The sequence below is a fragment of the Homo sapiens genome, chromosome Y, assembly GCF_000001405.40.
Source record: "Homo sapiens chromosome Y, GRCh38.p14 Primary Assembly".
Lineage (NCBI taxonomy): Eukaryota > Metazoa > Chordata > Mammalia > Primates > Hominidae > Homo > Homo sapiens.
The window spans coordinates 8,957,546-8,971,482 of NC_000024.10; the positions used below are offsets into that span (position 1 = coordinate 8,957,546).

At 38.3% G+C, this 13,937-nt stretch overlaps 1 pseudogene; it reads left to right on the forward strand.

Annotated features, from left to right (window-relative positions):
* TTTY24P (testis expressed transcript, Y-linked 24, pseudogene) lies at nucleotides 12,510-12,899 on the forward strand (annotated as a pseudogene).

Genomic DNA, 13,937 nt, shown 5'->3' on the forward strand with positions numbered 1-13,937 from the left:
CCTAAGCCAAAAGAACAAAGCTGGAGGCATCACGCTACCTGACTTCAAACTATGCCACAAGGCTACAGTAACCAAAACAGCATGGTACTGGTACCAAAACAGAGATATAGACCAATGGAATAGAACAGAGCCCTCAGAAATAATGCCGCATATCTACAACTATCTGATCTTTGACAAACCTGACAAAAACAAGAAATGGGGAAAAGATTCCCTATTTAACAAGTGGTGCTGGGAAAATTGGCTAGCCATATGTAGAAAGCTGAAACTGGATCCCTTACTTACACCTTATACAAAAATTAATTCAACATGGATTAAAGACTTACATGTTAGATGTAAAACCATAAAAACCCTAGAAGAAAACCTAGGCAATACCTTTCAGGACATAGGCATGAGCAAGGACTTCATGTCTAAAACACCAAAAGCAATGGCAACAAAAGCCAAATTGACAAATAGGATCTAATTAAACTAAAGAGCTTCTGCACAGCAAAAGAAACTACTATCAGAGTGAACAGGCAACCTACAGAATGGGAGAAAATTTTTGCAACCTACTCATCTGACAAAGGGCTAACATCCAGAATCTACAATGAACACAAACAAGTTTACAAGAAAAAAACAAACAACCCCATCCAAAAGTGGGTGAAGGATATGAAGAGACACTTCTCAAAAGAAGACATTTATGCAGCCAAAAAACACATGAAAAAATGCTCATCATCACTGGCCATCACAGAAATGCAAATCAAAACCACACTGAGATACCATCTCACAGCAGTTAGAATTGTGATCATTAAAAGTCAGGAACCGAGCCAGGCACGGTGGCTCATGCCTGTAATCCCAGCACTGTGAAAGGCTGAGGCGGGCGGGCAGATCACGAAGTCAGGAGATTGATACCATCCTGGCTAACACGGTGAAACCCCGTTTCTACTTAAACTACAAAAAAATTAGCCGGGCTTGGTGGCTAGCACCTATAGTCCCAGCTACACGAGAGGCTGAGCCAGGAGAATGGTGTGGTGTGAACCCGGGAGGTGGAGCTTGCAGTGAGTGGAGATCGTGCGGCTGCACTCCAGCCTGGGCGACAGTGCTAGACTCCCTCTCAAAAAAAAAAAAAAAAAAAAAAAAAAAAACAGAAAAAGAAAAAGTCAGGAAACAACAGGTGCTGGAGAGGATGTGGAGAAATAGGAACACTTTTACACCGTTGGTGGGACTGTAAACTAGTTCGACCATTGTGGAAGTCAGTGTGGCATTTCCTCAGGGATCTAGAACTAGAAATACCATTTGACCCAGCCATCCCATTACTGGGTATATACCCAAAGGAGTATAAATCATGCTGCTATAAAGACACATGCACAGGTATGTTTATTGTGGCACTATTCACAATAGCAAAGACTTGGAACCAACCCAAATGTCCAAAAACGATAGACTGGATCAAGAAAATATGGCTCATATACACCATGGAATACTATGCAGCCATAAAAATTGATGAGTTCATGTCCTTTATAGGGACATGGATGAAACTGGAAACGATCATTCTCAGCAAACTATCGCAAGGACAAAAACCAAACACCGCATGTTCTCACTCATAGGTGCTAATTGAACAATGAGAACACATGGACACAGGAAGGGGAACATCACACACCGGGGACTGTTGTGGGGTGGGGAGAGAGGGGAGAGATAGCATTAGGAGATATACCTAATGCTAAATGACGAGTTAATGGGTGCAGCACACCAATATGGCACATGTATACATATGTAACAACCCTGCACGTTGTGCACATATACCCTAAAACTTAAAAGTATAATAATAATAAAATTTTAAAAAAAGAAAAAAACAAGACACAAGACAAATATTTTATGCACTTTACATAGAATTAACCCACTATGTCACTTAGAATGCCTGTGTATGTGTAGAAAAATTTGAGTTGCGTGCTCTTTTTTATTATATTGCCACTATGTCAACAGGTAAAACTTGTGTTCTTTTCCATTAATTAACAAAAATAATGCATGGGTATGGTTGTATCACTTTAAAACTCAAAACAACTTTATTTTATTTTAAAACATTCAATTTAATTTTGTGAAATCAGACATAGATTTTTAAATATCTTTAAATCAATTTGAAGTCATCTAACTTCTTTTAAATTCAATTAAGTATATTTTTTTGTTTGTTTTTCGATGGTCTCAAATCTTGCTCCATGTCATTTTCTCAGAGAAAATTAGTAACATAACATCAGCTTTACCAATTCAAAATTTTTAGTGCCTTACCTCTGCTTGATCTTAAAGTCTTAGCTCATTTTATTTGTAGTCTACACTGTCTTTATTTCAACTAAATTCTTGAAGATTTCAAAACTGAGTGGTTAAATAAATTAATTATCACCTATTTCTGTGGTGGAAAGACTCCTACTCAGGGCGCTGGAGATGATACCATTTCACGGTCTAAAGTTTCAAATCAAAGACAAACTAAATCAGGTTGAATTATTCAGTGCTTTTCATTGGCCACCTGACATTACGGTCCAATCAGTAACATTTTATAGCCTGTATGTTAGGTCAAAATAAGCATAAGGCATGGTTCAATTGGACTTCTAATTTAAAATGAGGAAAGAAGAAGGGAAGGAAGGAAGGAAGGAAGGGAAAAGGGGGCCATAAAAAGCTAAAGATAACTTAGAGCTTGTCATCAGCATGAACTCTGTTACTGTATTATTTCATTAAATAAAAAAGCCAAAATGTGTGCTATGCAGGAAGTGTAAATGGAAGTGGATCTCTGTTATCCATATATTATTCGTAGGTTCTGACTTCAACTGAATCAGTCAAACCCAGCTTGCACCGTATGGCATGACCTGATCATATTCCTGCAGCTTTTTAAACATGGTTCATTTTTTCTGTTTATGCCTTTATTTCTTCAGTGAGTTCCAGATAGTCTTATTGACTGTCAGTCTCTTATTCACTCTCAGTTGCTCAGTTTATTGTTTCTATGTTTATTTTTTTGGGGGGGAACTTTGTATTTTAGGAAACACCCCAGTGGCACGTGTCTATTTTCATTTTACTCTGGCACTAAGATTGTTGTAGGGCCATCAATCCTCTGTCTTTAGAATTATACATAACCTATGATTTACACACAGTTTGTCATCAAAAATTTGCATTCATTTTCGTTCAACATCTCTTTCCATTCACTAATTCACCTTCTTGTCTTCTGAATGCTTTTCCAATTGGACTTTGCCAGCCACCTCCACTTTCTAGGAAGAACTTTCTTTTTCAACAATGTAGATGAGACTGCTTTTCTAACTGCAGTGATGAATCTAATTGGAACTTCATAAATCTTTACAAAATTACAACTCAATACATTCATCGCCATCAGTGAGGTACCATTAAAACTATTTTTGTCAAAATAAATCTTGGTTTGGGATGGGCAGAGATGTGGGGATGGACTTTTCCAAAAGAGTACCATCACTTTGTTTCAGTTTTTAGAATACATTTTTGGGGGTGGTAGAGGGAATAACTGGACTTTTAATAAGTTGGAATAAAACAAACCATCATAATTTCAATCTATAATTGTAAAAACTTTGGAAGAACCAGTACCCTGAGTTTAAACTATAGTATCATTTTACAAAATTCCTCCTTTTGATAATATAGCATATTTCCTAAAAGGAAAGCTCTTTAGTCAGATGTATCCTGTATTTACAAATGGCTTTTGAGACTGGTGATTTTACACCAGCACTTACAGTAAGTAGAGTAGAATTATTACTTCCCTAGCTTTGTGTCTCTCTATATGTCAACATTGTGGGGGAAAGTCTTAAAAAATCAAAACTGATGACTCTAGAGGGAATCCCTCTAATGCCTCAGCTGTTATTAAGGCACCCCGATGGGAACACTTTAATGGCTCTTGACCATGGCCCTGCTTTCCTAGCCAATCTGCCCCCCTGGATATTCTGTAAGACAAGTATAGACTCTGTTAACTTTAACTCAGCAGCAAGGTACCTTTTTCTGGCTCCATAGTGCCTACTTAAAACAAAACAAAATGAAACAAAAACATACCAGGCTTATCTTGAATATTCTCAAATAAGGCCTCAGTTAAAACAGAAGACAGAAATTTGAGGCCAAATGAAACATTATGTTTTAATTCAGCAGAACTGTCTTCTATTTCTTTATAAGAAGTCATCAGTTGGTAATGAGAAACCTAGAAAAGTTGTGAAAATTAATTTGCTTCTACAAGAATATGCAATAAATCATCCTTTATAATTTTACTCAAAAGGTAGGAGAGTGATGGTCTGCATATCATCCAGTATTCTCTTCATTGCAATGAGGTTAAAAGATAGCATGAACAATAATGGTTAATACTATATTTACATTTTAACTAAAACGTTAAGGTTTACAATGCATTTTGTTTTACCCTGAAGTGGGTAGCCATTACTCCAACTGTATTAATTTGGATGTGTTTGAGGATTAAATCCATAATGTCTGGAACACAGTGTATAGTCATATCTTATTCTTCCTATCTTGTGGGTAGCTGATCCATAACATTTTGAAGAGTTTTGTCACGGATTCATGGGTATAAATGTGAAATAAGTGAAACTAGTATGTATCTTGAGTATCCTTTATTCTTGCTAGACACAATGTCATGGATGCAGTACCTCCCACAAAGTTTTATGGATCTCTTCTTCACTAATAAACTATGGCAGAGCTCCAAATTAGTAAAACTCCTCAGAGGAGTTCTACTTTGGGATTCCTGGAGCCTAGGTTTCTGTTCTTTCTACAAATTACGGATTCCATTATTTGGTGACAAATCATCTATTTAGTAGCAGTATGTGTTGAATGGTTGTGTAAAGTAAAACTAATAAGCTTTCTAGGATGGAAAATATTTAAAAAAAAAAGATTGTCAAATGAGTCTACTTTTAACAATGGTAACAGAAACTAGCAAGTGCATATGTTGAAGGCAATAACATGCAGAACCTTTTTGTGGTTTCAGAGGAAAAGATGGCAACCCAACCTCAGCATGATAGCGTGCTTAACTTCAGTAGGATAGTGTTTGTATTTTTAGGTACAGTGTAATTTCAACTTTTTTGGGTTGGTAATTACAATTAAGGTAGGTTCATGAATAATCCTTGATGAATGAAAATCAATATCTTATATATAAAAATGATACTACTAGTCATGTATTTAGGAATTACAAAATTTGTTCCCTACTGTCAGATATTCATTACCTACAATGAAAACTGTTAAAGAGCACACTTTTCAAAGCAAATGTAAGTCTGTCTCTGGTTGTATTCATGTGATTGATACGCAATGATTCCTTCTCTCCTAAAGGCTTCTAATGGAGAGAGATCTTTATTGAGGCATATATTAAAATATACTCCTGATATAACATTATTTATGTCAATATTAAGAAGAATTTTGGGAGGTATTTGTAGTTCGTTTCTTCCTTTCTTCTTTCTTTCTCTTTCTTTCTTTCTAATTTTCTTTCTTTCTTTCCTTCCTTCCTTCCTTCTTTCCTTCTTTCTTTCTTCCTTCTTTTTTTTGAGATGGAGTCTCATGCTCTGTACCCAGGCTACACTGCAGTGGTGCGATCTCGGCTCACTGCAAGCTTGGCCTCCCAGGTTCACACCATTCTCTGCCTCAGCCTCCCAAGTAGCTGGGACTACAGGTCTTTGCAACCACTCCTAGCTAATTTTTTGTATTTTTAGTGGAGACAGGGTTTCACCATAGCCAGGATGGCCTCGATCTCCTGACCTCGTGATCCACCTGCCTTGGCCTCCCAAAGTGCTGAGATTACAGGCATGAGCCACTGTTGATGGCTGTAGTTATTTCAATATGCACTAAATAATTTTAACTTAAGGTAACTTCATATTTCTTTGTAACATTAAAGAGTCTTTGGATCCAACTTTAAATCTTGAATACAGTTTATTTAACTATTTAGAGTAAGAACAGATATATTTAAGGTAATAATATTGGTTCAAATGTATAATTTATGACAGAACATATGCTCTCTACACTGACCATTTCGCAGTTACCTTGTGAAAGATCATAAAGCACCATGGACAAATTCAGGATTCTGTCCTTGTGTCCTGATTGTTCTTGCTGGGCCTTCCTCCAAATCCTGACTGCCTCACTGACATTCAAGTTTGAGTGGGGCACTGTACATGGTATAAGCAATAAAAGCTGACCTGCAACTAAAAAAAACATTAATCATATAATCTTATTCACTGTCTTTGTACCACATTATGATACTAATCCCGCTGGGCATAGTTCACTTTCTGCAATCCTCTTGAATAAGGTCTTTGTTAATAGTTTTCCATGGAAACTTACTTGATCTGGGAAATATATTCCTCTTTGAAATTTAGTTGTGTATATCTGTGATGTGTTGATTAATTGCTGGCTCTTTTGCTGCAAGCAACTATGCATGAGATCGAAGCAAAATTACCAAAACACCAGGTGTGATGGCTCACATCTGTATTCTCAGCACTTTGTGAGGCTGAGTCAGGTGGATAACTTGAGGTCAGGAGTTCGTAACCAGCCTGGGTAATATGGAAAAACCCCGTGTCTACTACAAATACAAAAATCAGCCAGACATGATGGTGAATGAAGCCTTTTGTCCAGCTACTCAGGAGGCTGAGACAGAAGAATCACTTGAACTCAAAGGTAGAGATTGCAGTGAGGTGGGATCATGCCACTGCACTCCAACCCTGTGAGACTCTGTCTCAAAAATATATATATAATAAAATATAAAAGCTCCAGGATATCATCTTGCCTATGTATCATACATCATCATTTAAAGAACAGAACACCTATTTATATAAATGAGACTATACCAGCAATAATATTAAATATAAAAGTTTGATTTTTAAGTTCATTATTAAAAGGAGCCTTAAGAAGGTGCAGAATGGATAAAGTTCAAATGTGTATCTTTATTAAAATAGGAATAAATTTTTGGATCAAAAGATGAATTAATGTCAGAATTTGTCAGATGGAATCTCAATATATATGATACTGTGTATTAATACTTTGGCACAGGTGTTTGGAAATTTTGTGACAAAAAGAAAAAATGTAGCATATCAACTTACCTTGTATTTAACAAAAAATAATCTCTTCATTATATAATATAAACATATTTATATTATATTATATTATATATTTAATATTTAAATATTTAATATTTCATGCTTATTTGAATTATAATAAATTTGCCATGGAGAATATTTAAGTGTGTGTGTGTGTTTGAGAGAGGAGATTTCTTATCGTAAAATGGATTATGTTACTAAATTATTTCAAATTATTTTTAAAAAGGTATACATTTTCCCATAATAATAATGCCACAAGAATTGGAAAGATACATAACAATCTTTGTAATTTCAGGATCCAACATTAATAAACTCTGACAGGCAAGACATAATTCACTTTGACTCTAAAATGAGTAGGAAGATGGTTAGAAGAGTGGAGGAATACAGCCAGTGGAAGTGAGAAAAAGATCTGACAACTGAACACCTCTAATATCAGGAGCAAGGGATAAAGCTTTCCGGGTATGGATTTCTAGTAGAAAGGTAACATGTAAAGTCACTTGCAATCTAATTGTTCACAGAATAAAAACCACCTAACGGCTTATTATTTAAAATTAATAGTCCTGTTGCTTAGCACATATTCATACTTTCCATGGCAGAATTGTGCTTTCCTATTCCTTTGCTTCCTCTTAGGGGTTAATGGGATGCCCAGACATGAAAAACAAGGAAGGTCTTGAAATGTGTTTGGCAATTGAACTTACGCTCTTGCCTTCCTGCTTTTCTTTATAAGGAGAAAATAACTTAGCTGTAGGTTTAAAGAGAAAGCATTAGAATCAACTGAGACAAAACCAATTCCAACTAAGCTTAGAAGAGTAAAAAATCCCTCTTTTTCTGCAGTTACAAAGGCAAAAATACATGCTTACTATAAAATGCTACCAAGTTTTGGTATGGGTAATTATGCAGCATTATTACTGCATATAATATGTAAAGAGTATAACTTTTATACTCTTTAGCTAAAAAAAGTAGTTTTGCCAAACAAGCATTTGGTACAGAAAGTGTTAGACTAAGGTCTATACAGAAAAATTAAAAGTGAGTAATATTAACAAGAATATTGATGATAACCTCAGTAGCAATAACAGTTAAAACAGAAAATTAGAAGTAAGTAACATTAACAAGAACAGCAATGATAACCTCAATAGCAATAACAATTAAAACAGAAGTGTCTTACTTACATTATCTCATTTTATATAAAAAAGAAACAATTCACATTGTGCATTGGAATGCTTTTAAACTCCCACTTTTTTTATTTTAAAATACTATATTTCCATGTAAATGGAGTCTTGCATTTTTCACTCAAATCAGTGAGACATCCCTTTATTGTGGTTGAACTGCTCTTATCTGCATATGTGGGAATAAATCTTGTCCTAGTTTACAGTTTCTTGAATGAAACAGCAGTAATAACAACAACAAGATGTCCTCATCACTGATGCTATGTATGACTTTTTTAAAAAAATCAGTGTTATTTTCTCTATGTTTTGATTGGGCTGTTCTTAGCTTTTCAAACAGGCTTTTCAATATCTGTCTTTAGAGAACATCTATCCTTGCCTTATCCTTTTGCTAGCATATAACATGAAGCAGGAGTGAGAGAGAGAGAGAGAGAGAAACATACAGAGAGAAGCAAATAGAGAGAGAGTGAAACAGGAAAACAGAGAGAAAGAAATGGAGAGAGAGGGAGAGAAACAGAGAGAAAGAGATAAAGAGATTCTTCAAAAACAAGAAAGTATTTCTACATCTTAAAGAAAGCAAAATTTGCTGGTGGGTTTGAACTACGGAATGGAAACTGGTTCTATATGTTTAATTAGTTTCTAATTTCTCTGTAATCTCATCATGAGTCCCTAACAGGAAATAATATTGGCTATACATTTTGTACAATTAGGTGCTCATATATTAGATCATTCTGAAGGGGCTCACTAAATTATTTACTAAGCCTAATGTATTACTAATGCAAGTTAAACTCTATCTCTAGTGTAATTGTAAAACTCAATGAGTAAATAGTGCCCTGTGATCATCATGGGCTTGTTATTAGAGGTAAGTGAATCGAGTGCCTCGCGCAATATCTATAATGAAATACCGTATCAACTTGCCCTGATCCATTAAAGGAATGAGGGTTTACATCATATTCCACACAAGGAAAAATTGTTAATTGCTTCATTTTCCCTAACATAAGCCACAAAGAATAACAACAACAACAAAAACAAAAATAGATTCATTCTGTCTTAGTTCTAGTCCAAAAATTAAATCAAACCTTGAGCTTTTCTGTAAATTCCCGACTCCCTAACAAAAATAACTTTATCTTTGCCTTCGAAATGTTCATACATAGAAATGGAAGAATATTATCTAATTTAACAATAATTCAAAGAAGTGATTAATTGTCCATCATGAACATTACAAATGCAATAAATTAAATATCTAGTCATTTTTTTTAAATTTTAGAGCAAATTCTGTTTTTATTTTTATTCATTTCATTTTGGTTTTATGCCTTTCATTCTCTCCTTTCTCCCCTTCCTTCCTTCTTTCCCTCCTTCCTTCTGTCCTTCCTCCCTTCCTTCTTTCCTTCCTTCTTTTCTACCTCCCTCCCTCCCGTCCCTCACCTCTTCCTCCCTTTTTTTCTTTTATTTTTTCTTTTCTTTTCATTCTTTCTCTCTTTTTCTTTCTTTCTTCTCCTTTCTTTTCTTTCTTTCTTTCTTTCTTTATTTCTCTCTTTCTTCTTTCTTTCTTTCTTTCCTTTTTTTTCACTGTCTCTGTTTCTCTTCTTGATTTTTTTTTTAGATGGTATCCTGCTCTGTCACCTAGGCTGAAATGCAGTAGCATGATCTCAGCTCACTGCAACCTCCCAATCCTGGGTTCAAGCAATTCTCCAGTCACACTCTCCAGAGTACCAATGACTGCAGGCATATGACAACAATCCTGGCTTTTTTGTTTTGTTTTGTATTTTTAATAGAGACCAGGTTTTACAATGTTTGCTCAAACTGGTCTCAAACTCCTGTCCTTAAGTGATCCACCCACCTCAGCCTCTCAAAATGCTGGGATTCCATGCACAAGCCACAACGGCCACCAAGTTTTATCCATTTCTTACCTCAGTGATCTCTCCAATCTCTCATTTTATTTTATTTTATTTATTTTATTTTATTTTATTTTATTTTTATTTCTGAGAAATAGTCTCACTCTGGTGTCCAGGCTGGAGTGCAGTGGTGTGATCTCACTTCATTGCAAACTCCATCTCCAGGGTTCAATGGATTCTCCTACATCAGCCTGACAAGTAGCTGGGATTATATCCATAGGCCACCATGCCCAGCTAGTTTTGGTATGATATTAGACATGGGATCTTGCCATGTTGACCAGGCTTGTCTCAAACTCCTGGCACCAAAGATAGCCCAATTCGGCCTGCCAAACTGCTGGGAGTGCAGGTGTGAACCTCCGTGCCCTGCTTGATATCTGTTGTAAAGCTCAGTTGATAAGCAATATTGTCTTCCTGGAATGCTTTATGTTTACAAAACAATGATAGCACTATTATTTAGCCCCTTTGGATAAAATACGGTAACACACAAAACATATATACACATACACATACACAGACACAGACACAGTCAGTGATCAAAAAACCAGTGTAGGCCAGGACCTAAAATGAAAGATGAGTTGCTGTAGTTGACTAGAATTAAACCAGACCAGAGTTAACCCACACCCAGCCAAAAGATGTGAACAGGGGCTTCAAAAAACTCCATCAGATACATGTCAGATTACTCTCCAGCCATAGCAAAGGGACATGAAAGATCTGTTGTGTTTAGAAGAGTCTTGATGGTTTGACTTTTCCAAGGTATTAGCATTCATGACGTTGACCTTTAAAGCTCTCCGCAATTACACAAATCAGTAGACAACTCAGTTTTTCTAGGAGTCTAAAGTGCTTTTCAAAATTATCTAAAACTTAGTGGCTTAAAACAATAATTATAATTTACTAACTTCAGTCTCTGCAATCTTCCACAGTCTCTCAGCCAAATGATTGTGGTTCAGGGGTACTCAGGAGGATGCAATCTAATGATGGCTTAGGATGGGGACATTGTCAGGTGTCTTCTCATCTCCCTGGTGTCATGGCTAGCATGACTCAAATAGCAGGAGCTGGACTGCTGAGATCCTCAGGCATCTGCTTCTATTTGTATGAGTCTCTCCATAGGATGTTCCTTCTACATAGTGTTATCAGGGTGTTAGACTTCCTGATGTACTGGTCTGGGACTCCTGAGGGGTTATTCCCCATGAGAGCAGGAGACTTAGGCAGAGCTGTGTCACCTTTTCTAACCTAGGCCAGGGGTGGCCAGTATCCAGAAAATGCTTGCACTGTTTCCTATTAATTAGAAGCAAATACTGTGTTCAGTCCCAACAGGAATATTTTGAAATGGGTTTGCAAAGAATTTCAGTGTTTAAAACCACTACAGTGATCATGCCTAATAATTACTTATTTTTATAAGTGCTGGATGGGTTTTACCCAACATAATAACAGATACAGACTTTTCAGCTTAAAACTTAAATGTCATAGCTCTGAACATTTGGTTGAAATAACATATGTTGAAATAACTCTCAAGCAAAAGTTTATTTTGAAATGAGAGCTATAAATAAATAAAATAAATGAGATAAACTCATAAATATCTGGATGAAATGCTTATGAAGAGGTCAGCCTTAAAAAAGTCAATAGGTCTAATGTGCCACTCTTTTACTATTTCTATGAATATGACTTGGACAGGAGGGCAAGGACTCAGGGGTCTTCTGAACTGTCTCTGCACCTTGAAACAGTGGCTGGGGCACCAGGAGTAACACTTCCAGCCAACACCATGTGGTGAGGATGAGGAGTCCATCCGGGTTAAGGAGGGTGTCAGCATAATGTTACTTGAAGGAGAGGCGACCAGGATCAAGATCTCCGGCACACATTGAAATCCCCCATGCCCAGCTGTGGCGGACTGATTCCCTTAGCTTGTGCTGGGCTAACAGGTGTGTTCAGGAAGCATCTCCCTTGCCTGGGAAGGATCCCCCGCTTCCCTTGCTATCAGGAAGGGTGAGGCTTGTGGCCTCTGCTCTATCTGTTCCAGCTCTTTCCCTTTCCATTATAGCACTGCTGGGTAAGGTGGCAGGACCCCAGAATGTGGAAGGGCCCTGGGCTGTTGACAGTGCCTGTGGGTGGCCAGGTACTAGGAGGAGAGTCCTCACTGAGCCTCCCGTGAGCTTGGAGGCTGGGAAGGAACATTCGTGGGGCACTGGCCAGTCCAGAGTTCAGGGGCCTATCTGGAGAAGGCCAGGGCGATGTTGTAAGGCTGTGGATCTACAATCTAGATGGAAGAGTTGTATCTGCCATGGCTGACATCATCAGGGCAAGACACCAACTGAGTGGAAAGCTGGACTTATGCATTTTATCCCTGTCCTGAAGAGACACTGCCTGGCTCTCCTGGGACCACTGATACTGGGGACCCCCTCTGGGTCCACTTATGACCATAAGCTTAGGATCTTCTATGCCTTGCTTCCTATCCACCCAGCTGAGGTATCCTGGAGACGATGTACGGGGCGAAGCTGTTGTGTGCACATGCTGCACTGGAATGGGGTATCATTGGCCAGTTAGGCCACTGCTCCCCAGGCCCTCTCCTGAGCTCCCACCTGGCTAAATGATAACTGTAACATCTACCTCGCCCTGCAGCCCAGGTTTCTCCTCCACCTACTGACCCATGCCCACTTGGGGAAAATGCCAGCCTCCCTGGAGACTCAGGCCCTGCCAGACCCACCTGCTGTCCTCCTCTCTCATGGGCCAGACACTCTCTGGTGCACAGGGATTCAGGAACAGCAAATACAAAGCCCGGCAGGTTCCATTGCTTCTTTCCTGAATGCCCGCTTCCCTGGACGAACACACAGGAAGACTTGGGCAGCAGCTAGGTTTTATTTCCCTCTGGATGTCATTTCAAGTTCATGACATCTCCTCTAGGTAGCTCATGCCAGCCATCCTTTCCCTCCTCCCTCTGCCATTTGTGAGAACCATGAGGACTCTTCACAGCTCCCACGTGTGCAGGCTTCACAGGTCCTGAAGTTGGATCACCAAACCCAGCAGCCCCTAAGCCAAGGTACACAAAGGTACACAGCCACAGGTGTGCACATGCATGCACTAGCTCAGACATGCAGGCTAGAATGTGCCCACACTCATACTGGTACAAGGGAAACAGGGTGTCTACACCAATAATCAGATGGGACTTAATGTTCAGCCACATTCCCTCGCTGGATACACGTAAAAGGTCCCCTGCGATTTAACTGTTCATCTGCAGTAGGATTTACTATTACTTTTATACTTTTACAACTTACCAAAGTATGTTGCATTCTTTCCCCCATCATGAAAAAAGGCTTTGATAAAAGTAAGAAAGCTGAGCATTTTTTGTAATAAAATTCTTATCTGTATCTATACTATTAAGTCATTTAAAAATATTACATCTTTTTTTTAATGTCATAGGAAATGTCTCAGGGGCAGGGGAAGCATGAGTGAGGATGGCAGAGGGGAGAAAGCATGTGAAGGGAGCCTGGAGTCATTGAAACAAAACATGACAGGACTGGGATAGCCATTCTAGAAGGACATAGACCTAGGTGTGCCTCATGTGCACTTCTGTGTGGACGGTAAGAGGGCGCTAGCTGAGCACAAACTGAACCCCGGCTGGTAGCAATCCTCAAGGCGTGGAAGAGAGGCAAGGAAGGATAATATGGCAGCTATCTGTTGATCCTTGCTTTGCACCAATTGACCTTCACCACTTCTCCTTTTTAGGCAACTTCAGGTTCCCCAATTCTGAGACATGAGTGTTACAGTTCCCTGATGAGCCTTTCTCCCCTAGCCCAAAGATGGCCTGGGATTTATCACTGCAGGCTCCTCCCTGAGACTTGAGT